At 40.6% G+C, this 27,079-nt stretch overlaps 2 long non-coding RNA genes across 7 annotated transcripts in view; one reads left to right on the forward strand and one right to left on the reverse strand.

Annotated features, from left to right (window-relative positions):
* LOC107985173 (uncharacterized) overlaps nucleotides 1–9,134 on the reverse strand; it is a 122,834-nt gene extending 113,700 nt beyond the window's left edge. For 3 of the 5 annotated variants that reach the window (XR_007066289.1, XR_007066290.1, XR_007066291.1), the window contains exon 1: nucleotides 8,522–9,134. This is a non-coding gene — a long non-coding RNA (uncharacterized LOC107985173). Of the gene's footprint in view, nucleotides 1–8,228; nucleotides 8,319–8,521 lie in introns of all 5 variants that reach the window. The other 2 variants (XR_001753357.3, XR_001753355.3) reach the window with 1 other exon arrangement.
* LINC01255 (long intergenic non-protein coding RNA 1255) lies at nucleotides 7,766–26,179 on the forward strand. Of its 2 annotated transcripts, NR_110779.1 has the most exons (4): nucleotides 7,766–7,791; nucleotides 8,030–8,118; nucleotides 25,728–25,832; nucleotides 25,953–26,179. It is a non-coding gene; the product is annotated as a long intergenic non-protein coding RNA 1255 (long non-coding RNA). The 2 variants fall into 2 exon arrangements; NR_110778.1 differs by lacking the exons at nucleotides 7,766–7,791; nucleotides 8,030–8,118 and adding an exon at nucleotides 9,244–9,437.
* The last annotated feature ends 900 nt before the right edge of the window (nucleotides 26,180–27,079 follow it).

Raw genomic sequence — 27,079 nt, forward strand, 5'->3', positions numbered from 1 at the left:
AGTCTCATAGAAGAATACCCACAACCTGCTTGAAAGCTATTAAAATATTCCTCCCTTTTCCAACTACACTTCTGTGTGAGGCCAGATTTTCATTACGTACTTTAGCCAAAATGACAAAGAACAAGATTGAATGCAGAGGCAGATACAAATCCAGATGTTTTCTATTACTAAAGAGACATTAATGATACTAAAGAGATTTGGGAAATGTAAAACAATGCCACTGTTCTCACAGAAGTATTCTTTGTTTTGGAAAATATAGTTACTTTCCATTAAAAATTATATTGTTAGTTTTAAATAAACATATTAAAGATATTTGAGAGCTTCTTATTTTTACTTTCTAATATGGTAAATTAATATGGACTTTTTGGGGTCCTCAATAATATTTAAAGGAGTTAACAGGTTCTGCAACCAAAAGTGTTGAGAACTACTGCTTCACAGGTAAGTACTACAATGAAATCCCATTTGTCTGTCAAAATCCAGACTGGTAGTAGAAATGTGGGTTGAAGAAAGTTGGCAAGTTAGGGAATCATAAATTGATAATATGTTCATGTTTTAATCACTTTCCTTTAAAGAAAAGTATGCGTAGATTTCTGCCACTCTTTTGATCTAAGGATAAACCATTTTCTTTGTCGGTCTGCCTTTTGCAGTGTCTTTCTTGCATAAACTACACCCATAAAGCAATATCTAAGATTCCTAATATTTTTAGTGAAGAATGGTATTTAAAACACTGTGGAAATCAACCCAAATGAAGGCCCTTTCTAGGTTTCCAAACTACTTTACACTATTCCAATTTTAAAACTGTAATCTCACTCATAGCTAATTCAACATAAAAGTTTTAACCCATCACTTATACTCTCTTTTCAAAACATCCAACTTAAGTTTCATAAAAGTAGCAACTCTCTAAACACAGACGTTTTGAGGAGTTACAGAATATGTAAAATATTTTATTTACACTAAATTTCAACAAGCAGACATACATTTGGAAATAAATGTAATGATATCAGTAAGCATACATTGTTTGGGAGGGACTGCTATGGTTGACTTGAAATGCACATTGATAAAGCATAAAATTTGTAAGAATTTAAAAAAAAAAAACATTTCTTATAATAAGGGAAATTGGCCATGTTTACAGACTGGGAAACCTGTAGGTGTGGCTGTTCTAAAATTTCATATAATCTCTTTCATGCATGCATCTTACTTTTTCACTTTAATTTTGACCAACCCAGATCCATTCCAGAATTGACTGGAGATGCCGATTTAACCCAGGGTTCTAAGCTGAGTTGGAAAATATTCATCTAGTTACTCAAGAGGCAACCAATCTTCTAAAAGTAGAGACTAAACAGTCAAATAAGTCTAGTTCCTTGGGAAATAAATTTCTATGTGGCTCCACTCCTTTGAAATAGGAAGGAATCATCCTTTGTATTTTAAGATGAATATCTGCTGTCTGTCTTCTCTCATTGTCAACCAAATACCTAAAAGATTTCCCTAAGTCTGTGGTTCAGGGATGGAAAAAAAGATAATGTGCTTCAAGTAATACAATAGCTAATTTTTAAAAATTTCTAGTTAAGTGACTCAAATGGGTTAGCACATTTTATTGTCATATCACAAGACAAAATTACCTCAAGGCCCACAGTCACATAACCTCCCCACTTCCTGAAATGATAGCCCTGTGCCAAGAAAGATAAAGGTAGAATGTCCAGGTTTTTCAGGAAAACAGCATGGCTGCATTGTGGTCAGCCACAGCTTTAGAAGATTCTCCCCTTCTAACTAAGCAAGCTGACTGGAGAAGCTCCTGTTGTCCAAGCTACTTCCAACACAAATTCCTAGAAAAATATACACCCCTTTTAGAGAATTTTCTTCTAAAGGAGCCCTTATGCATAGGCAGTAATATGAAGACTTCAGTGAACAGGTTCAGAAGTTAATCACAACAAGATTAGCTCATAGACTTACTGACTTTCTTTCTGGGTAGTTGAGTTGAGAAACGCCTTAGACATCTCAAACTCTTTCATGAATGCAATGCTTTACCTCTTGATTTTTTACTCTTTCCAGGATTAAAGTTTGTGATATACTTAACTCAGGATTTAGGCAAACTGAAGGTAAGATGAAAGGCAATAATCAAATAAATTCATTTAAAATTAAATTGTGATATGTTGTAGGTAATTTTTAGTTTAGTCCTCACTTCTCTGTCTCCTGTTTCTTATTAAAGTTGAATATCTTTTAGACATCTGACAAATGTAGAACATTATTTGTCATTTTGCAACTTCACACACACTGGAGATGGCACTTTAAATTTCATTGACGATACATTTTGGAATTGTTTTCTAACCTCAGCATATTTGTTGATGTCCTAATTCTGATGACATTATCTAGAAGTGACCATGAAGAACACATTCTGTAGACTGACTAATTGGAGATAGCCTGCTCTTTGAACTTTACCCATAGAGCTGCATAGTAATTACAATTGCAATTCATAGCAACATGTTTCGGAAGAGAAGGAAGTCTCTGAACACACGAGTATCCCCTCACTAATCATAAACTGTCACCAAAAGCATAAAATCATGCAATTTTAAATGTCATCTAGTTGAGTCCCAAAGAAATTGGGGCCCAATTTTCTCAGATGAAAAGAAAATTGAACAGTATTATATACAATTGTTCTTAAAAGAGCAAAATAATTTTTCTTCTGAAAATACAAAGCAAATTGTTACAAAATAAATGGAGTGTTTCACACTTAGGTTTGTAAAATGTAATAGCTTGAATTGGATTTTCAAATATGCTGTCACCTAGAAAACTGATATGAGGCCATTTCGACACCAGCAGCCCAAGCGGGGGTTTTAGTGCAGCATTAAAAGAAGTAACCTTCCAAAGCCAACAACAGAAACTCAAAGAATGACTTTCAGGTACTCTCAGATAGCTGGAAATGTGAGTTTGGGGCTAGAGTGGGGAGAAGTGGGAAGGAAGCAGTCAAGAGAACCGAAGAAGTAATTTTGTCAGATTCACTGCTCAGCACATTCACAGAAAGCAGCATTTTTTAGCTCCTCTCCTTTCGTGATCCAACATTATCCACTTTTCTCATGCTTACATCAGCAACTAAACACATATCCTCTTAGTGTCCTGTTTGTAATCCATTATTTAAGGAGCTTATGCATAATCCATCACTACCATTGCCTCCTTGCTCACAGTACTACTGCACATGCAAGCAGTACTAAACAAGGAACTATATAAGGAATGATGACAAGAAAAAGTTATTCATCTTAAGCAATGAAAAAGGACTATATGTATCTATTGGTTGACCATCTAGGGGTGACCCAGGTTGCAAAAAAGTGAATTATTTGAAAGGCAATATTGCATTGTCAAAAGTGTGTATAGGCAGACAGACATGGGTTTACTTGGACTTTTGGCAAATTAATTAACCTACACGGTGCTCAATTTCCTCATTGGTGAAATAGCTATTTTCATACTCTCCTAGTTGTGATATTGTGAGCATTCAAGAAGACATATGTAAAAACCTGGCCCAGTGCCTAATCCATCCACAGCAGGGACTCAATAGATTGTAACCGAAACAGCAATAGGGTCCATGAGAAAAGCATTTCCTTAGAAGTTCTTCTAAGCCTAGAAACAGTAGTCCAGGACTTGCATTTAAAGCAGATAAACTAATGACTTCTGTCAAACAAGGTTTTCCTAATAGTGGTCTGAGTCTATCAGTTTTCCATATTAAAGATTTCTTGGGGCGGGGGGGGGGAATGCAGTTGAAGGCTTCCTATGGTCATGTAAGTTTTAGATACTGTAGGTTAAGAAAGACCAGTATGGCCGGACGCGGTGGCTCATGCCTGTAATCCCAGCACTTTGGGAGGCCGAGGCAGGTGGATCACAAGGTCAGGAGATCGAGACCATCCTGGCCTAACACGGTGAAACCCCGTCTCTACTGAAAAATACAAAAAATTAGCCGGGCGTGGTGGTGGGAGCCTGTAGTCCCAGCTACGCGGGAGGCTGAGACAGTAGAATGGCGTGAACCCGGGAGGCGGAGCTTGCAGTGAGCCGAGATCGCGCCACTGCACTCCAGCCTGGGCGACAGAGCGAGACTGCATCTCAAAACAAAACGAAACAAAAAAAAAAAAGAAAGACCAGTATTTCCTTACTAAATATTTCTTTAGGATTTAATATGCTAATGAGCATTGAAAATGTCCAAGACAGTAATATAGTATGAAGTGCACCCCAAAAACCTATTCAATAGGAGAATTGTTTTTAAGGAGTATATATAGTATGGGACAAGTGATTTATGGAAAAAATACTGGCAATTGCTGCCGTAAAAATACAAGTGGTCACAAAAAATTAATTTGACAACGTAAATGGGAATAACATAATGAATTAACGTTAGCATGAAACTCAGAATTCTTCTTTAATAATTTTATTGATAATTAGCAACTCTGCAAATCTCTTCCTGACTTTTTATTTGTATAGTCTAAGTACATACCTAAAAATTCATACATCCGTTGTCCTGAAGAAGCCATGGGTTATGCCAGTCCTTGTCTCAGAAACTGTTGCCAGCACAGCTTGGGGGCTTGGCAATGCCATTAGCTCAGTACTGAGCCATGAAAGCAGAAATCAGATCTCCAAAGGGACCGTGCATGGTGGGCCAGAGCAAGGCAAGGTTTCAGTAGAAATGAACTAAATTCCCTTCTGCTCAATTCTGTGCAGAACTTTGTTGCCTTACAAAGTCATATGAAAACATATCCCCTAGTTTCTGCTTCTAATTCTGTCTCCAAAAAAGAAGAAAAAGAAAGTCAAGGGGACCAAATGGGGAACAAACTCTAGGCCACTTTTGATAGCAAAATTATTCCATGTCATAGTTCAGGCAAAATCCAAGACTCTCAAGTCATGCAAGCGAGTACTAAGGTGAGTCACTGGCCCACAAATTGCACTAGTCACCAAATCCTGAAACCCACCTTCTCTTGCTGAATTTGAGCAGATAGTAACCAAGAATATGAATAGAGAAAGTGGGTTTGGCACGTGCAAAAGCATTAATGGGTGAAAGTAGCTCCCTAATTGTTACTTAACGGGCACTGTGGGCTACATCTCCCCCAGAAATATCTCTACCTTAAAGCTTATGACTGGCAGTCTTTCATTTTTTCAAGTTTTTAAGCCCTGAGCACAAAACTGCAAATATCCCTTTGAGGGATGGCACATGAACCTGTGCATCTCACATGGAACAAGTACTCATTGAGCAGCCACTATATGCTGGGCACTGTTCTAGATGCTGTTGATACAGCAATTGATAAAAAAAAAAAAACTGAAGTCTCTTCCCCCTTAAGAATTTTATTCTACCGTAGCATGGCTATCAACAATAGAATGTCTCTGTTGTTCGTTTTGATGTTACAGCCTACTTGGAACCAGGCTAGAATTAGTTTGTCAAAGCAAGTTCAAGAGGTGATGAACACTGCCAGGTAGAGCAGGCCAAGACATGGCCATTAGACATGGCCGTTATGACTGTCAGGAAAGGATGAGGTCTAAGACCCTGGGCACTGAATCCCTAGGGGTGTGTGTGTGTGTGTGTGTGTGTGTATGCATACTCACACCCACCATGTTTGGCATGGATACTGAAAGTAGTCATGCAAAGAAAACTGAGGCAAGTTTGCCAACCTCAAGATTTATCCTAGGCCTGCCTCAAACAAAAATGGTATAAGAAAGAAGAATAAATTGATGCCCACAAAGTGCTGTGCCAAAGCAACATTGCCATCTGTATTGTGAGTCTGATGAGTCTCATTAACTATTTACACAGGCCTTGCTAATTGCAAAGGGCACTTGGGGAATTCTAAGAGGGTGCATACTTTTAATGGGAGAATAGAAATTCTGCGTCTGACAACACAGAGTTTTAAAATAAGCTGGGGGAAGCAAAATGATGCAAAGGAAATGTGACAGGCCCTTGTAGAGTGTCCGCCTGGTTTAAAGAGAGCCCCTGAGGTCATGCTTGGGCCCATGACCCTTGTCCCAGCCCAGCTGTCTGAACCAGGGAGGGCACCGGATCCCATTCAGAAAAATTATATTATCATTCTTGGTAGTTTGTAATTGGAGCTACACAACCTTAATTTAGTGTGTAATACTCTTTTATCTAGAGTATCTCACTAATTCAAAAAAAATAAAGAAACAAACTTATGACGGATTGCTGACCCAATTTTAAAAGCATAATATTGAAGATCATGGAATAACATCTTCTCCCCTATCCCACAGGTGAATTGGAAAGCAACTCATAAGAATAAGGAAAGAAGTATGAAATAGGTGTAAAGAAACTGTTCGTGTACTTGATGGTTTGCAAATATCATGGGGAGGCTCCAGATTGTGTTTTCCAAAGATGACTAAAACAGTATCATCTCCCATTCCCTATGCTCTTCTAAGACCTTGCTATTCATTTTCCCATTAAGAGGTAAAGTCCAGTTCACCTCCTTTTGAGTCTGGTTAGGCTTGTGACCAAGAGAATGCAGCAGAATTAACGCTGTGTGACTTCTAAAGCTAGGTCACAAAAGGCAAGTCCGCTTCTGCCTTCTAAGCTGGGGCATTCGCCTTTGGTGTTCTGTGCCGCTGTATAAAGAGTCTGACCATCCTAAGACCACCATGTTGTGAGGAGCCCAAGCCACATGGAGAGGTCACATAGATGTTCCAGTGACAGCCCCAAATGAGGGTCTGCTGACAACCAGCATCAGCCACCACACACACAGATGATAACATCTCCAGGACTCTAGTTCCCAGATGCCTGCATATCCCCAGGCTCTGAATCCTCCAGCGGAGGCCCAGACATTGTGGAGTACATGCAACCCATGCCAGCCCTGTCATGTCCTGTCTGAATTCCTCACCCACAGTAGTCAGAGCATATAAAATGGTTGTTCTATGCCACTACATTTTGGAGTTGTTGGTTTCCCAGCAGCACAAAATGGAACAGAGGCTTAAGTTTACTCTTACCCTAGAATTCCAGGAGATCCTACTGTATTCTCTTTTAGTCTTCTGTAGATTTTGAGGATTTCTACTAGGTTGTGAGGATTTCTATCACTTGCTGTCAAACCACTGAAATTCATATTAAATTGGTATTCAAAATGGGGTTGCAGAGAAAAAGTGTCAGAGTGGATTGGGACCAGCAAGAAGTTATTGTCCTGGGATAGAGAGCTGCAATGCACGTTTAACGATAGCAGTATGTCTTGTTCCTTGGGAATCAGATGTCTTACTTCATCAGATAGCTAGACTTTAGAGGAATTCATCATTTTAAATGTCAGAATATCAGATTGAGTTATCGATTCCTTATGGCCTTCAGTAAAGGTCAGAGAAGTGGCAAGCCTCAGCCGACGCTGCTCCATGGAAGTCACCAGAAGAGAATAGAGGACAGCCCACTGACGCAGAGAATCAGAGCACAGCATCCACTATTAGTTTGGACAAACTGTGGTGGCCACCAGGGGTGTATGTGTGTGAGAGAGAGAGAGATTATGAACTGATTGAAAAACTGAAGATTACCAGCAACTGGAATGAGGATATATAGGAAGGAGGAGCCAGAAATGTGAGCAAGCCCTTCAGAATGTACCTTCTCCACCACCAAGTGAAAATGAAGATTCCTCCCCTTGTAATACTCGGTTGGCTGTGATGCAACATTTTGGCAAGACTCCAAAGCAGATTTGCGAAGAAATGCACCCTGAAACCCATGCCAATACTCCAATCTATAATATCCTGCTCATGCTCTGAGGTCATTAAGGAAAAAAATCATGAAAATAGGTGGAGCCCCAGAATTTCCTCTAAAAATCAGAAGACTCACAGGTATGGCTTAGCCCTGAAAGTATAGCCAGCCAGGAGATTCACAAAGATGTTTCAACACTATCCTGACAAATAAAATTCTCAAAAATGAAACTGGCACATGGCTGACCATAGTTTTACAAGAATGGTCACACAAGAAAAATCCCTCAAACTAACAGCCCCCTGAAATGTTCAAGCATAAGTATAAATGATGTTGGTAATGGGTGATTGTGACTAAGACCTCCCTGTCCCACCTCCACAGAGAGAATCTCCGAGATGCTCTGGAAGAACAATGGCCAAGCAAAATTCTCCCGGAGGACAGAGTCTGTGGCAGTCTTTCTGGGTGACCAGGTAATTTACTTTGTTATCAAATAGATTAATCATCAAATTAACATTTATGAGAGTTGTCAGTCATTTCATTTACTTCATCATCCCTGTAGAAGCCTCTAGTCTCAACCAACCTGCGACATGATCTTGGTGATTTGTTCAGCCTTCCTCCTTTATCAATTTTTTTTTTCTGAGATGGAGTTTCACTTGTCACCCAGGCTGGACTGCAATGGCATGATGGCTCACTACAACCTTGCCTCCCTGGTTCGAGCCATTCTCCTGCCTCAGCCTCCTGCCCTAAAGTGATCCTCCCACCTCAGCCTTTCAAAGTGCTGGGATTACAGATGTGAGCCATTGCACCCACCTTTTTTTCTCATTTTGAAAATATAAAAAATTAAAACAGAAATAGGGGGAAAATGGATCTCACCCAGAGGTAACAGGCTCCAAGAACAGTGGCTCTAAAAAGTCTTCTCTGGATGAGTGATGGACTTTTCATTTGTCTCCTTGTTGGAGGGGGCGGGGGCAGTGAGTGTGTTTGCAGTTGTGCTTGTATCCTATTACGTGGGATTCCTTTTGATGTGTGGGATGACAGGTGTGTGGCATTGAGGGACAGATGCTGGTAGTGTCTTGGGTACAGTTCCCTGGAGCAGAACCTGAGAAGGGGATGTTTGTGCAAGACATTTATCAATGGAGTGCACTCACAAGAAACATGTAGGGGTCGGTGGGAGCCATATTGGGAAGGGAGGAAAGAAAAATGAAAAAGGATGTGGTCTCCGATGCAGCTGGGCTTCAGCTTGATCCCATGGGGCCTCTGGGGAATAAACTGTACCACAGGGTCTGCTCAGTCTTGGGGCATGAATGCAAGGTGGTTTCTTTGTTTGTTTGTTTGTTTTGTGTGTGTGTGTTTTCCATAAAGCAGTCAGTTATTGGCCCAGGACTACAGGAGAGGATACAAAGAACCTAGGTCCCTTCATGGGGAGGGACTTCCCTATCTCCCAGGGACACTGGCTCCAGTGTTCAGTCACCTGCCCAAGATGCCTAGGCCTGCAGGAGGGACCAGAGGCAGATGATGTAGACAATGATGATGTCACAAAGAGAAGTGAGAAATAATGCAAGCAGCTCCATTCCCCACGGCAACTGTGCAGAGAGGCTTGCAGGTCCAAACCACTGGTAGCAGCCCCTGGTATATCCAGGACATCAGCACATAGAACCAGTGAAAGGGTCCTCCCTCATAGTGACGCATGTCATAGACTCAGATTTATACAAACAAATGCTGAGCAAACCATGAAGAGTCTCTGGTATTTTCAACAATATCATCACAGAGGAACTGTATTGATTTCCTTGTAAGTATTTAGATTTTTCTCTCTCATGTAAAATGTCATATCAGATTTTTATCATCTCTTTTAAATTTTTAGAAGAGCATTTCCCAAACTCTACTGAAGTGACAGATTTCCTTATCCATCTATCCCGCCAACATCCAGGCACGTTCAGGGTACTGGGAGAGGCAACAGGGATGGAGGTCCCATGTCAGGGGACTTCACAGTGTGACGGGAATGTTCAACCTGCACCTGTTCCTTGCACCATACTCCATCCAGCTCTCCGCTCTTCCAGTCATTTATGCTCCTGTCTTCCGTGGAGGAAGTCTGGTAGTATCTCCCCGGGACACTGGCTCAAATTTCCAGCCACCTGCCCAAGACAGATGGGACCAGGGGCCAGATGATGTGGACAATGATGATGTCACAAAGAGAAGTAAGAAATAAAGGAGGCAACTTAGTGGGAAAGGTGATGTTCTGGGTTCTGAAGAAGATGAGAGATACCAGGCCAGGCTGTGCTTTGCCTCTTGGCCTATTTTCCTTCCTGACTTTTTTCAGCCACAGTGAGTCTCTGAGACCTAGTTTTGGCAGAAGGAAGTACCAGAGGGAGCTGAGCTGTTGAACATTATGTGCGATCATGTAATAACTGCAATCGGAAGGGAAACACTCAGAGTCCTGGAGAAAGAGAAATTCGCATTTGTGGACGCCTGCTGGGAGCTAGGCACTTTCGAATAGTTCCTGTCACCTAACTTAAGTATCATTACTCAAGTACTAATTAACTTAGGTATTATGCAGAGAAGTCGAATAATTAGAAAAGTGGCATGACTTATACAAGGCAACATAACAGCTAGAATTTAAATGTAAAACTGCCCGATTCCAAATCCACACTCTTTCTACTACAAGGCCTTGCCCCCTTCTCTGGGCCACACCAACATCGCAGTTGCAGGCGAAGAGGCCATGTCTAATGACTGCCCCCTTTACATGCCAACCTAGTCATGGTCATGGTGGTGTGATATCTAAAAACAAAATGGAACCACCATGAAAAATTTGTCTCTGAGGACCCAGAGTAGTAAAATCCCAGGATAAGGAAGGCCTTTAGCGGATATATGGCCTGCTGTCCCGTTCAGTCTAGAAAACGCCTCCTCAGGGTCCCTGCAGATGGTCACCTCCCTCTGCAGGAGGACGTCCAGTGGGAGGAGAGCCACTTCCCCAGGTCTCCCTGACACTAATGTCAGAAGGTGCTTTCTTAGGTTGAATCAAAATCTCTCTCCCTGTGTCTTCTCTTTGCTTCCTGTTCTTTTCTCTGGAGCAACATGATGTAAATAAGTTTATTTTCTTTTGTGCACATCAGAATTTCATATTCAAAGGACATCATCAGCTCTCTTGTTAGAAGGGGTCCAGGCTGAACACCCTCTTTTCTCTCAATGATCCCAGCTATGACACAGTTTTCTGATCTTCAACATCCTGGAGGCCCAAGACTATTCAAATATGTCACAAATATCTCTAATCACATCTTGTGATTATGACTTGGATAGAAGATAAACATTATTTCCATAATGATGAACATAAGACATTTGAGATTTTTTTAATTTTTAGAGTTGTTATTTTGAATTATTTACCTTCCTAAATCTAAAAAAATTCCCTTTAGAACTCTTAATTTCTTTCCTAATTTCTCTATCCTACTCTCAAGCAGGATCAACCTCCCAAACGCATTGCTTATCAGGCTGTGATACCAAACTGCACAGGAAAAGCTTAATCTTCAAGAACCTGTAGCTGTTCTCCCAGACATCCATATCTCCTTGTCCTAACCCTTTGATTTATGTTATTGTTTTTAAGTCCCATTTTCCAGGCATTTGCTAAGCCAATAGAGAACTGGGCCAATTTCCAAAGTCCTGCTAAGAAGTTAATGTTGAATAAAACTTTTTTCAATGCGGCAATTGATCCGCAGTCATTGCCTGTTTGGGCTTCCCAACCACAGCTCCAGACAATCAAGGGGAAGGCTTATGCCATTTAAACGTCTCCCTTCCAGCAAAAGAATCTGGATTGCATTGTCAGAAAAGTAAAAAGGAGACATGTCAAAATTATAACTCATCTCTCTACCTTCAGCCTTATCAACTATGTTAAGTATAATAACATCTACTCACCAATTGCCTCAAGTCTCATTTTCTCAATGTGATTTCAGTCACTCATTCTTCAAAGACTATTTTATAGAGCAGCAGACAGGTCCCAGACCAACTCTACTCCTCTCCTAAACTCCTGTTCCATGCCCAGAGGAATCCCTTTTCCAATGACTAGACAGGGGCTGGGGACATTTAGAGGCCCGGGCTCCTTGTCTCAAGGCTGGACAACTCTGAAAAGCCAACCTAGTCCCAGAGCTCCTTGCAGAATTGGCTGAGGCCACTGTTGCAATCCCATCGAGTTTCCAATATTAATACCTCCTGGCCCAACCCAATCTTCTCACCTCCAATAGGTGTTGTTCCTCAGCCTTAGTGGGAAATAGTGTTATTTCCCATTAAACCAGCTATCTGCATGTAAATATCAGAGTCTGTTTCCAGTGGAAACCAAACTACAACGTGTGTGTGTGTGTGTGTGTGTGTGTGTGTGTGGATAGATAGATAGATAGATAGATAGATAGATAGATAGATAGATAGATAGATAGAGATATATGATAGAAGAAAGAAAGACATCCAAAGTTGTAGGTGACCTAGATTGGACAAATATAGCTGTCTCTTGTTGTTGCTGGAGAATTTGTTCCAAGACCCTCCCTCAAATACCAAAAGCCATGAATGCTCAAGTCTCTGATACAAAGTATTTTCATATAACCTATGCACATCCTCCCCTGTACTAATTCAGGGGAAGACCACGAAGAGCCTGTGTTCTCTTTAATAGTCATTTTATTCTCCATTTAAAGCCTTTGCCTCAAAACCCTGCAAGGTTATTCATCACTGCCAAATTGGAGTCTGTGAGATTTTCAGAAGAACCATTCATGTTACAAGTTTATATTCAGGTTTCAGTCACTGAGGAATTATTGGTGGCAGTGATCTTATAATTATCAGTTCTTTATTATCTTGAATATCACTTTATTGGCTTATCTGGTAGTCTCTTTTTAGGATTTGTACACTCTCATCTCTACATTATCTATAATACCTAATGCCATGTAAATGTTGGCAAATAGTTGTTACACTGTATTGTTTAGAGAATAATGACAAGGAAACAAATCTGCACATGTTCAGTACAGATGTAATCATCCTTTTTTTCCCAAATATTTTTGATCCACAGTTGGTTGAATCTGTGAATGTAAAACCCACAAGTATGGAGGGCTGACCATATGTTATACATAATCTGACACATATTTGTTATATATATACAATATATCATCTAAAACTGAATATTTGTTGCTCCAAATAGCCTCAAAATACGCCCCAAAAATTTATAAAATTTGGAGGAATTTATTGTTTATAATGAACATTTATCAAAATTAAGTGAATCATCTATTGTTATACTTTTTCATTAAAAAATACAAAGCAGGTATGGATTTAATATCTTAATGAACTATTTAGTTTATAATGAAGAATTTCTTGGCATTGCATGCTCAACCCGTTGAGATTATTTGGAGAGTTATGAGCTTTGCAGGAGATATTCATAACATTATATATCTAGAATGGGTTAAAATGGATTTCTCACCTTGAGGATAAACATTTATGACTTTATTTTCAGTAGAGTAGTAAAATAAGGACAAGGTAGAAATAAGGAGGCTTGGTTTCACTCCTGCCTGCACCTCTAAATTGTTCTGCAAACTTTTCTGGGTCACTGTGCTTCCTGGCCTCAGTTCCCTATCTGTGGAATGAAGAAGGTGTCCTTGATGTAATTCCAAATCTAACATTCCATAACTGTAAGATGACATCCCTAGTCCTTTTATATAATTGTTATAACTATTAAAGAATAAAAGTACAGAACAGTAAACTTCTAAAAACACTGCTTCTACAGATGAACTATGGAAATACCTCATTAGTGACACTTTAAAACAATCTGCACTGTACTAAGAAAATAGTACTTTGCACTATCTGTAGACATAGCAACTAACAGGATGTCTGCCACATAGCACCAGCTGAATACATTCTTGATAAATGAGTAAATGATTGTTATGTGAATGCATGTTTCCATTCCTGTCATTATCCCACAACAACTCCAAAGGGAATACAATAAATTCTGTCCAATGAATGAGCCCATGTCTCAGATATTTTACCTTCATCTATTTACTAATCTACCTCACAAAAAATGATATCCTTGTGGAAAGTATTTCAATAGAGAAATAATATCCAACTGTGATCTAAGTATTTTAATTAAGCCAACATGTAGTTTAAATTGTTGAGTTGCTGATTAGAGCAATCTTTTTTACTTGTTTTGGAGTGAAAGTGCTTTCAAAATGCTTCCATGAGAATTGGAGGGCTGCAGACATATGGCCTTATGTGGTGAAATCCAGTTCTTGTTCTTAGACTCAGCAGAGTACAGTTTTTAAAGGGATTTGATGTTTGACATTTCAGTGGGTTCAGCATAAATGCAGATGGTTGGGGCCCATCTTATGCCTAAAGGTGTTCCTACATGTCTTTTAATGCCTTTACTTTGAAGCTGACCTGATGTCTTCTCGCTGGCCTTGTGAGATGGGATTTGCTGTCTCCACAATCTCAGTTTTGAGTCCCAGCTCCACTACTGATTGGATGTATTTTCTTATCTATAAAATGTGGATAACCACAGGTGATTATTATATGAGGTTATACCAGTAAACTGCTTAGCATGGTACTTAACATATACTAATGATTTCTATGAATATGTTTGCACAACTTACTGTGATTATGGTAAAGCATATCATTAAATCCTTGGAATTATTTTTTAATTTATGAAATAACTTTAGATGATTACTAAAAGTTCTGATTTTGAAATTTTGGAAGTCTACATCTCCTCTTTTATAAACTGATATAACATCAAGTAGATTTTTGTGACTAAGATGTAATTATTTCCACTGTATTTTCAAATATCCAACTGGAAAGATCACTGAGAAGTATTGCCCAAGTAAGCTGGATATCCCAAAAACTGTGAGCCAAAAAATAATATAGAGATAAGTATCTTGTAGTTGAATACTGACTAAAGAAATTATAACATATCAGTGTACTTAAAACACTGTAGAGAAGTAGAGAAGCTAAAAATGAACTGCTCCATGTGTGAATTCTATTGCTACTTGGAAATGCGTCTAAGAAACATTACCTGAAAAGAGCAAAATATCAAGGACTCTGAACCACCACTGTCCACAGTGGGCTGTCATGCCAAGTGTAGTTTATGCATCTCTCCACAGCTGCATTGTTGCCTACAGCCCCACAAGGTGCCTCCATGCTCCGTGGCAGCCGGAAATAGCAATGTCTTCAATCACACGCCTATAAAAGCAAGGCGACTAAGAGTTCAGACCCCTCAGGGCTAAAGGCCTGGATTATCCAATTGGTCAGACCGGCTGAAATGTTGGTTAGTAGTGAAGAATCTTGAATGGGCAGTAAAGAAAGAAAATGATAAATACTAATTAGGATCCCAGGACCAGCTGCATGAGGAGAGCCTGTAGCTTGGCTTACAGACCCCCTTTCAATCTTTACAAGAGACTGCAAATGACCCTCTCCACTTTCTGGGAAAAAGTGAAGTCATCTTATTCTCTGGCCATTTAGTTTGTAAAGAACAGAGATGTGCCAGGTTGCTCAAATCAATTCTCCAAATGTGGTACTCAAATAGCAGCACATTTTCTTAGTGGATCTGTTCCCTTGATGACAGGCTTCCCCCCATTAAAATAAACCTATTATAGACTGAAGTATGAAAATCAGGTACATTTTTGAGATCCTAAGAAAAAGTGAAGGGAATCTCATGCTTGCTGCCTGCAGCTCCAGCCTGGATCTCCAGATCTCCAAGGCTCCCCATCTCGACTATCAGACTGTGGGACACTTTCATTGGAAATTCTGAGAAGCACAGCCTTAGGTGTTGGAGGTTTATGATAATGAAGAAAGAAAACTCAGAGGACATCTCTGAAACTACACAGCCAGGCCTAGTGGAGAAATGAAGTAGGCTCCGTACTGTCTGAGCCCCACACAGCTCATGGTCTCTCCCCATCTTACTGGACCATGAGGACCCTTCATCAGCAGATGCCCACGACTGCCCCTCCACTGATGCCATTATTGCCATGATGCAGCTTCTCTGTCTCTGCCCCCTCCTCCATCCAAGTCTTTCCCTTCTCCCTCTTATGATACAACCCCTTTGTTTTTACTGATTGATCTTATGACACATCCCTTTTATTTTTACCAGTTGACTCATCTGACATTTTTTCAATGTAAAACATTGAAAAAAATTGGATAAAATATGTCCCTGCCATTGGATTACACATTAATTTCTGAAGTCAATCTTCCTGAGGTTACCGAGAATCTTTTATGACATTGAAAAAATGTCAGATGTGTCAACTGATAACTACTCAATATGCAACCTCACCACAGAACGGCTGAAGCACCTTGTAAACAAATTACATCTCATATTCGGCCACTGTTGGTTAATGCCCCAAGCTGGGCCAGTCAGTTTGAGGCAATGCACCTGGCCTTTGTGAGTGTGCAGCTTGTCTTGAGAAAAGACATTGGGCGTACATAAGATTCCCAAAAGTTCTCATGACTTGCAGACATGTCAACAGCATTGCTCTAGTGAAGAGTGCTTTAGAGAAGAGAGAGGCTTGTAACACCAGCTGCCATCTGCACTGGTGCCGCGCCAGGCACTGTGCTGAGAACTTTACAGCCATGATCTCATTTAATTCCTCTTAAACATCCAAGTTGAAGTTGTGTCCTATTTTATATCATAAATGTCATTATATCAAAAAATATATTTTTCCTGTGCAACATATATGTTGTGCATATTCCAGTACATAAACTTTTAACAGCTTGCATAGCATCCTCAGATTTCAATATGATTTTTAAATACCCCACTCAGAAGAAATTTAATGTTTCTTTCATCATACTCTGAGTCAGCTTAAATCACTATGTTTTTAATTATTCCACTTTCACGGAAAAATACAAAGTGATGAAAATTGCCTTTCTAAATATTTCTTCCATTGAAGAACAATTCTCAGGTTTCTATTCTTCTAGAATTCAAAGAGTTTTCAGTATTTAGGAGTATTTGCCCCTTTGCTGCAAAATTCATCCTCTTCAATAATTTTTTTTAAGTGAGCACAAAATGCAACAATGGTAGGGTTAATTGATTTTGATAGACCCACCAAAAATCATCAGCAAACATTTATGACTTTCCATTGAAGACAATTCCATCAACGTGTTGTTTCCAAGCATCTTTGAAATACCCAGTGATCCCTCCAGTAGAATCTCTTATGAGACATAAAAACTACTGGCACAGAGAATAATTCAGTTTTACTTCTATCAATGAGTATTATCTAATGTTGCTTAGAGGTTTTATGAAACCAGGGAATCATCCATTCCCATCTATGTTTATTCCTGAAAATTGCGGCCTTGGTGTTATACAGAGACCACGATTGCACAAAGAAGGCCTCAGGGGAGCAAACATGACCTCATCCTGTGAGGGAGAGCCACAGCTCACTGCCACATGCACAGAGGATTAAAAGGCAAGTGGGGAGACAAAATACTGTGATTAAAAAAAAAAGTACAAAAAATTAGCTCATCCAATGATGAAGACAAGACAGCAAATGCCAAATTAGCTTAATTGAGCATGCAAAATTAGATGTTCACCTTGATGAACATAATTATTACAATTTCAAAACTGCAAATGACCTCAGGAAAAAAACCTAGGACAGCCTCATTCCCAATTGAAAACAAACAAAAAAACAAAACAACAACAACAACAAAAAAAAGCAGAGTTACCCCCAGTATAATGCAGAGCTGGTGATACGGTTTGGCTGTGTCGCCACCCAAATCTCACCTTGAATTTTAGTAATCCCCAGGAGTCAAGGGTGGGACCGGGGGAGATAATTGAATCATGGAGTTGATTCTTGTGGTAGTGAATAAGTCTCACAAGATCTGATGGTTTTATAAATTGTGTCCCCTGCACAAGCTGTCTTGCCTGCCGCCATATAAGGCGTGCCTTTGCTTTTCCCCTCGACTTCTGCCATGACTGTGAGGCCTCCCTAGTCATGTGGAACTCTGAGTCCATTAAACCTCTTTCCTTTATAAATTACCTGATCTTGGGTACATCTTTATTAGCAGCATGAGAACAGACTAATATGGCTGGCAATAGAATGGACAAGACCCTCACTTGCACCTTTCTGCCTTCATGGGCAAAACCCACAGCACTCACACTTTCATAGATTCTGGCAATTATATCCTAGCCCTGCAGCTTTAGAGATGCAAGAGCTGCACCTCTGATCACCTGGCCTGCTTTTGAATTTTGGCTGCAAAGACTAACACTCAGGGCTTCTGACTGCTTTTCTTTTCGCCCACACGTAAACTTGCTACGTTTCTTCCCCACCCCATTGTTTGTCCAGAAAGCTACAAATCTTTCCAGAAATATCCATATGGCATATCTCTGAAATCAGTCAGCCAGAGGTCAGTATGTATCTGTGCTTTAAACTTTATGATTAGTGCCCTAAAAATATTGTTATAGTCTGCATTGGGTAAAACGTGCCCCTGCCCTTGGATTTCACATTAATTTCTGAAGTTAATCTTCCTGAAGTTACTGAGAATCTCTGTGTTGCTAAATCCAGTGGAATTTCTTCCCTCCTCATCTTACTGGACCATCTGTAGCTTTTGGCACCATTGACTATTATTCTCTCTCCTTGAAATACCACCTTCCTTTGGTTTCCAGGAAACTATATTCTCTTGGTTTTCCTCCTGCATGTCCCTCTCAATCTTCCTTGCTGGCTCATCCTCCTCCACCCAGTCATTAAATGTTGTAATTTCTCAAAGTTCATTTATAGTTCATTCCTTTCACACTCTATCAATACCCATGGCCATACAGAGACTCCCAAATTCCTTTGTCCAATCTTGATTACTCTTCTGAGATCCAGAGCTATATAGCTAGATGGATGTCTTTCTAGCTGTCTCTATTGGGATATCAGAAAGACACACTTCAACACTATATGCTTCTGAATTCGTAACATTTCCCACAATAACAACCTTAGTCTGCTTCCAGTGGTTCCTCTCTGAGTAAAACCAGCATCCACCATTTGGAGATGCTTCAACGCTGGCAGTCAATCCAGTCTTTCTCTCTCTCACTGTGTGTAAATTGTCTCTCTCCCAGTCAAGGGAGATTTTCCTTCCTAGGTTTCTCTGTCTCCATCCTCACCACCACCCTCATCCTAGAAACCATGCCTGCCCATGCCGCAACCTCTTGATTTGTCTCCATACATCTGGCCTGTCCATCTGCGTTTGTTCTCCACATGGTGAACAGAAAGTTCTTTACAAAATGCAAACCTGATTTTACCACCCTTTGCCTAAAATCCTTCCGCAGCTTACCCCAACTCCAGGTATAAAGCCCATAGGCTCTTCGTGGTCTTCTCCTGCCTAAGTCATTCACTCCATCTGCACCCTACTCCCCCCACCCCAGGATGCCCAAGCACCGGCGACACCCAGTGCTTTCAGCTCATCAGACAAACCATTCCTTTCCCCACCTCTGCCACCTCCACCAGGCCTTGAAGACATTTTCCCTCTACTCAGAAGGTACTCCTCATCCTTCGGCAAGTTCAACCCTATTTCTCCTTCAGATCTCAGCTGAAACATGACCCCTCCAGAAAGGCTTTCCTGAGTGTCCCGTCTAGCTCAGCCCCTCACCACGCTTCCCGGCTCTCGGCCTCTCCTGGAAGCGCTGGCCACTGCTGGGCTTCCGCACTTCCTCTGTGTGTATGTGACTGCATGTTCCGAGGCTCCACATCTTTGGGCTTAGGAACCACTTCAGGTTTCATTGTTTTCTGTACAAATCACGGTGTGTAGCCAGGACCTGGCATATAGCAGGCACTTGATAAATATTCACTAATATCAGTCAATGATTTCACCCTTTTTATGCAAACTTTTGCAACAGGCTGGATTATTCAGGAGGGATAGTATATTCTTGAGTTATCAGTCAAGTAGATTCCCTCTCCTCCCCTGCCCTGTCCTCAACCAGCCTGACTTCAGCAATTTCACTCATTATTTGTCTTCTAGAAGAGACAACTTGCCTCCTAGAGATAGATGAGAGGGCGACTTACTCTGCCTACTTACAGGTCATGCTAGAAACGTTTTTCTAGGAAAGGTACTGAAACCCTTAACAAAAATCAGTTTGTGGTTCATCAATTCACATTGTTTAAATGCCTCATGAGAATGGACAAGTGGAAGTAAGCTACAGCTATTTTTGTGACTCACCAAAACTAGAGGTCACAGCTGTGCCCCAGGGCAGTCCTGCCCAAAGCTACTTGCTTTCAACCTCACATGAGTCACCCTGTGCGGCTGGAAAGAGCAAAGTCTTGACGGAGATTCCATTTTTTTTTTTTCTGGCCGAATGACTAATAAAAGATCACCTTGTCAAATTTAGCCTTAGCAACAGGCAGTAAATTTGTAAGTGTACTGTTGAATTAAGTTCCTGCTCTTAAATTTGAAAGGATAGATTTGTCACCTTAAAAAAAAAAGATTTTAATTTTAAAAACAAGTGATTCTCTTTATCCTCTGTAAAGATTCCTGGCAAGTTATCTTTGCCAGGGCAAAAAATAGAGGCCTGGAGGCTTTCATGTATTTTCTAAAGGTGAGCAGGTCACCGGTCAAAAGTTCTTCACTATAGACAAAGGGATGGTGTATTTACTATTGCTTATACAGATAGTTGTGTTTAAACTGGTTGGCCTTTAAATATTTGACCCCAAGAAGAGGGCATCTTTTCTTTATCAGGCTAAAAGTTTTTAAACGTAGAAAAATCAAATAAAGAAAACGGAAATTTTCAAAGATTAGAAGGGATCCAGATTTAGCCACAGTGAAATTGCTCAGCACAGGGGACATCTAAGAAAGCATACTATACTAAAAAAAATTCTTCATTATTACTATCATTCCCATATTTGAAGTTTGTCCATAAATGCAAACCACAAATATAGAACATTGCATCACAAAGATGTTCTTCATAGCCTAAGAAAGTAGAGCTGCTGGACTTCTCTTCATTATCAAGATTTACCATTACAGGCTTTACACTTTTAAATTTGTTTGTATCCGTTTTACCAATGAGGAAATTGACAGCCAGAGAAGTTAATTAATTTGTTTAGTGGTTCCCAGAGTACAAAGAGCATAAAAAGCTGAGCAGGCACCATGGTGCTTAGGAGTGTGGACTCTAAAGACATGCTGCATGTGTTTACATCCCTGCTCCATCATCCACTGTGTGACTGCAGGCAAGTCCAATGGCTACTCTAAGCCTTGGCTTCCTTGGCTATGAAACACAGATGATAATACTGAGCTCGTACCATCATTTTACATTCTAAGTGAGATCATGCATAGCAAGCAGTCGAAACAGTGCCTGGCACATCGTAAGCTCTTAAAAGCTTTAGCTGTGTTTTAAAATCACCTGGAGAGCTCACTAAAGATTAGGATACCTGGGAACCTCCTCAAGAGATCATGATTCACTAGATCTGGGCAAGAACCTAGGAATCTGCATTTTGATAAACACTGCCAGTGAGTTGGAAAACCACTATTAGTGCAGCCAGATGTACCTAATTCCAAAGTTAATGTTGCCTCATCAGGAAGCAAATTCTTCAGTCCCTTCCCATTTTGTATTGGTATTCCTGTGATTTTTCAAATGGGCCAAGTGTTACTTCAATTTAACACCTTCCTAAGTAACACCTCGTCTACATTGCTTTGGGAAAAAAATCACTTTTTTTTGCCTCTTAGATGCTCTCTTAAGTCACAATATTTTCCATGATGTTGCTCTTCATTTTTAGAGTCCCATGGACCTGCCACGACCAGGCCCTTATGTCCTTCCATCGTGTAGCATCAAGGACTTGACTCGTGTCCTCTCTAGGCTATAACCCAGTCTCCAAAGCCAAGCCCGTGTGACCAGAGACAGCTGAGTGTTCAGGGGTAGCTGTGTTTCAGGCCAACTCCAATTTGGTGTTTTTGTTTCCATCCCCAAACCAGGGGGCCTGCAAGCCCCACATATCAAACAACTGGTTTGTGGAATTGGCTGTTATTACAGGGAGATAACTGAGCTGCCTCCTGAAATCTGAGGTTCTTAAACCAATTGGGTATCATATATACCCAGTGCTTTCTGGAAAAGTAAAGTGTACAACTCAATTTTCACCATGTTGTTTTGGAGAGCAGACCTCAGAAACCAAAGGCAAACACTCAACATTCCAATCCAACTCCATCGTCTTCCATGACATGGGCAGTGAAGTCACATTTGGTTAGGGCTTTAGTTGCTCTCCAGGAATGATGAACTTAGCTTGATAACAGATGTTCTAAGAAGCTAACAAAAGCTACCAAGCAAATAATTTTTTTCTAGTATCACTGTATGCAGCTTTTTCAAAATGACCAAGTGATCTGACAATAGAAGGAAAAAGCAATAGGGTGATTCCATATTGTAAGCCAGATATTCAATTTGAACCAAGCTCTTTGAAGCCCTCAGTAGCTAAGTAATTAGTCTTTTTCTAAATTCTTATAAAATTTCAAGACCATGAAACACTATGGAAGATGTCAGAACAGCAAGCAGCCTCAAAGTGCTGTAGATGGGATAATTGGAAAATAAGAAATAAGAATTCACTAATCTTTTCTCTAATTTATAGTAAATTCAATTGTGTTTACATATTGGAAGACTTGTACTTTTTTCTGTTAGTAAAATATACCCCAAATGTTTCAGGATCTCCTGCTCAAAGAACCTAGAGTATGCTTAAGTACTTTGTGTTAAACAGTACCATGGTGGGTTTTTTTCTCTATCATTTCAGTAAATCCAGCCATTGCACCTGTGCACAGGTGTGAAGAGAAAGATCAATAAGTGAGACTTCTTTCCCAAGGGCCCTTCCCCTCCTCACCAGTTAAACCCAACAGCTGAGGAACTGTCAGCCTGTACTGAGCCTTTCTATCAAAGAAAGGATAGAAAGTTATTAAAAAGTGGTAAATATGGAGGTTAGGAAGCTATGTAAAGAAGGATGCATAAGATAATGTGAAATGAGAAAAAGCGGAATAAGAAAATGAATAGTTACTGATTAAAACGATGTTAAAAACCATACAGCATGCACAGTTACTGTCAGGAGACCACAATTTGTGCTCTTAAGCTATTGGCTGGAATATGATCTGCAGCAAAAAAAAAATATATATATATAAACTTCAGTTCATTCTTATAAATCGGTCCAGTGAAAACAAGAGTACCAGTATATATAAAGATAAACACACACACCAAATATACATATACATATTACATATTACATTCTTGTAAAAAAAATTTTTAAATGACCTCTGAGCCAGAAGGTGCTGAAGAGCACATACATGGCTGTTATCTCGAGGTGGGATTGGGGGCAGAGGGTGTTTATTAACCTTTGTCACAGCCTTCAGTGGTCCAAGAACCTGCTGCTCCCGGGTCCTCTCATTTGAAGACACCCACCGCCTAAGGATGAAGAGAAGCTCCTTCTTGCAGATCTGAGGCTGATTTCCCAACTCCCAGGAACACCCTACCCACAGCCTGTTCCCCAGACCCAGGTCTGTCCCCTTATGCCTGGTCCCAAGTCAAAACCAGCTGTTCCTATTTTAGAAGACAATACTACTTCTTCCCTTGCCTTGTATTACCAGTGGTCTAGGTTGTCTGAGGCTCCTCAGGGTACAGCCCTATTCATCTCTGTGTGTCTGCAATGCCAGGCATAGCACTTGTTACAGAGTTTTTGTTCCATTGTACACAGGGACTTATAGAGTGCAATAATAGACACTGGTGAGATGGGGGTGAGGGTTGAAAAATTACCTATAGGGTACAATGTTCACTATTCAAGCAACAGGTGCACTAAACACCCAGACTTCACTACTACACAATATATCCATGTAACACATCTGCACTATACCCCCAAGTCATAAATCTATATGATACATACAAATTAAATATATATGTATCAAACTAAATACATGTATATATTTAAACACAGGAAACTGGAACTGATTATTTTACAAAACGAAGTTACTCTTTATCTTCATGTGACTAATACCCTTCAATGGTGGAATTCTTAAAACATAACATTTTTACTTTCTACAGAAAGCACAGAAACACAGAAGTGTTTTTAAATGATTAAAATATTTTATAGGAATGTACTCTTTAGTCCCAATATCAGTAGGGAAATGTTTCTATACAACAGTGAATTCATAGCATAGCATTACATGCAAAGGTTGAAAAGAATTAGGATAATCTACATGTACTAACATGAAAAGATCTTTAAATGTCATGTTGTCTGAAAACAAACTGTAGAAATATAAGTAGGGCCTTCTGTCATTTTTAACTAAGGTAAGTAAATCATGTATTCAGATGAATGAAAATAAGTTTACAGAGGTCTTGCATAATTTTAAGTTTTTAAAACAGCTCCCACATACACATACATAAATCTGATCATCTCAATAAAAACACAGAGAGAAAGAGAGACATCCCGCTCTTATTCAACAGGAATTCTTGACCAAGACTACAAATGTAGCCCATTTGACATCGAAAACATTGGGACAGGTGTGAGAGTGAGGAAAATGGGGAGAAAAAAGAACTTTGAAGACAAGGATTTGAAGTTAGCATGAAGCATGGAAAGGAGGAAGGGCAAGCTTTCTGCAGTGAGGACAGTGCCTGCCAGAGAAAACCAGATCCTGGGGAGGGGTTTCTCCAGAAAGAGAAAGTCAAAGCTGCAGGTAGGCTCTGGAGACAAGGAGCTCGCATGCAGTGAAGGTGGCGGCCACATTGAGAAATCACTCCAGGCTGAAGGACATGCACCAAAGGCGGGAGGGGTGGCACCATGGACAGAGCTTCGGATGGGTGCAGGTGGGGCTAAGAAGGCAGCATGGGGCAGATGCTGCAAGTATGGAAGCCAGGACACGAGCTTCCTTCCAACCACCAAAGGGCAACTCACAAGCAAAATTCTTTCCTAATGCTTCACCACGTTTTTTTTCTTTTTTAGACAGATCTCACTCTGTTGCCCAGGCTGGAGTGCAGTAGTGCAGTCACAGCTCACTGCAGCCTCAAACTCCTGGGCTGAAAGGATCCTGGCACCTCAGCCTCCTGAGTAGCTGGGACTACAGGTGTGCGCCATCATACCCAGCTAATTTTTTTATTTTTTGCAGATACGGGGTCTCCCTATGTTGCTTAGGCTGGTCTTGAGCTCCTAGCCTCAAGTCATTCTCTTACCTTGGCCTCCCAAAGTGCTGGGATTACAGGTGTGAGCCATGGTGCCTGGCGACCTCACCATTTTTGCTGACTGAATCACTTGACTAACCTAACTATAGCTTGCTGCTGAAGATGCTGGCAACCTAGTAGACAATACGTCAAGATGTGAGGATGCTCCATAGTAATGTAATACCTTCCATTCAACCAAGGTTAAAAGTGTCAACTAAATGCTAATGTCTCCACCAACCACAGATGGGGTTTGCAGGAGCAATGGCTGTAGGGACACTAAGATTTCACCCTCCAGAAGACAGCATCTTCCTGTGCCATGGCTAGATCACCAGCTACCCACAGACAGCCTGAACTCCAATTGTCTTCCTGCACATGTGCCTTTAAAGGTTTTACTGGCATTATTGCTTTTTTACTTCTGGTAATTGCTTTAAAAGAACAAAGCTCTTTGTTTAAGGGGGGCCCAGGGATCTTATAATTGCCACGAGGCACATGAGAGGTTTCTAGACTTTCTAAACAGTTTCTCTTTTAACATTAAATATTAAGTTCATAATGTTTGGCCAAGATGTAGATGCTCCCTAGGGAGGGGGAGGTGATGCTATCAGGAAGATCGTGTAGACTGGTAAGAGATCCCTCCTGCATAGCTGACTTCAGAACCACAAAAAAGCGCACCTGAGGAGGGGTGCTGGCCACCCTGTGCCCATGCAACCACCATGTCTTGCCAGAAGCAGGGCACACTCTAGTCCCAGCTGCGTCAGGGGCTTCAGACTCATTAATACTATTTTCTACATTAAAATAAATGATGACGTATCTGTTCACCTGCAATGAATCACATCAAGTCAGTTCTTAAATGAGTGTTTCCAGAATCCTTAGGGGCTCCAACCCAGCTAGTGCAGGGGCTCAATGACTTAACCCTTCTTTTCCCATGGTATATTTTTCCCCAGAATTTTCCAGCCGAACTAACAGTAATTTCAGTGACATTAAATACTGTTACAGGAACTTTTCAAATGTAGAGGAGCCTTTAGAAGGAAGCCTTGAGCATGAGGACAGACCCCCCTCATCCAACCACCACCTGACTCTGTGTGAACCTGGAACTGTTAGGTGAGCCCGTCGGCTTGAGTGGACAACCCAGGCTTGCAAAAGGGGAGACTGGGGAAAGCTTTGTCTTTCCCTTTCCGGGGGAAGACCCATTTTTAAAATTACAATGTCCTATTTTCACAGAATGTCTGTGCTGTGATAAAAGGTCATCTCCCTACAATGTTATGATACAGACCTCAAACCTACAAACATGAGGAACTTCTGCCTCCAGGTTAACTGCTTACCCACTGTACAAGACACGTTACACACAGTCCAGGAGGCGGAGCTTCTGAGATATCTAGAAACAGCTTAGAGGCAAAATGACAAAATAAAGCAGCAACAACAAATAAAACCAATCTTCTCGAACTGGCTCTCGCTTTGGTCTAACTAGTTATGCACTACTTGGATAACTATATCAAGTTCCCTTGAGTCGTCTTTTACTTTAAAATGTTATTGTAGGACTGACTCATCCATTCCTTATCATGCCCAGTGTACTGTTCATATCTCATAGTCAACTTGGTGCTAAAAGTAGTGACGAGCCATTTACAATGCCAGAAATCAAATTTTGTATCAGTTAGAATCAGGTTTGTCTCCAAACAATAAATAATAATGAATGTGATAACTTGGATGAAATGGCCAAATCTGTTAAGAAATGAGAACTACCAAAATTCACTAAAGAAAAATAAGTAACCTTGTATAGTCCTGTATCTATTTGAAAGCAGGAATTATAGTTCAAACCCTTCACACACACAAAGGCTACCAAATTTTTTTTTTTTTCTGAGATAGAGTCTCGCTCTGTCACCCAGGCTGGAGTGCAGTGGCGCGATCTTGGCTCACTGCAAGCTCCACCTCCCGGGTTCACGCCATTCTCCTGCCTCAGCCTCCCAAGTAGCTGGGACTATAGGTGCCCGCCACCACGCCTGCCTAATTTTTTGTATTTTTAGTAGAGACAGGGTTTCACCGTGTTAGCCAGGATGGTCTCAATCTCCTGACCTTGTGATCCGCCTGCCTCGGCCTCCCAAAGTGCTGGGATTACAGGTGTGAGCCACCGTGCCTGGCCAAAGGCTACCAAATATTTAAGGAAGAAATAATACCAACTGCACACAAATTTTTCAATAAAATTAAAGAGGGAGGGATACTTCCTAACTCATTCTATGAGGCCAGCATTAATTTGATAACAAAACTAGACAAAGACCTTATAAAGAAAATACAGACCAGTATTTCAGATGAGTATAGATTTAAAATTATAAACAAAATTTCAGCAAATCAAG

This window comes from Homo sapiens, chromosome 18 (genome assembly GCF_000001405.40).
Source record: "Homo sapiens chromosome 18, GRCh38.p14 Primary Assembly".
Classification (NCBI taxonomy): Eukaryota; Metazoa; Chordata; class Mammalia; order Primates; family Hominidae; genus Homo; species Homo sapiens.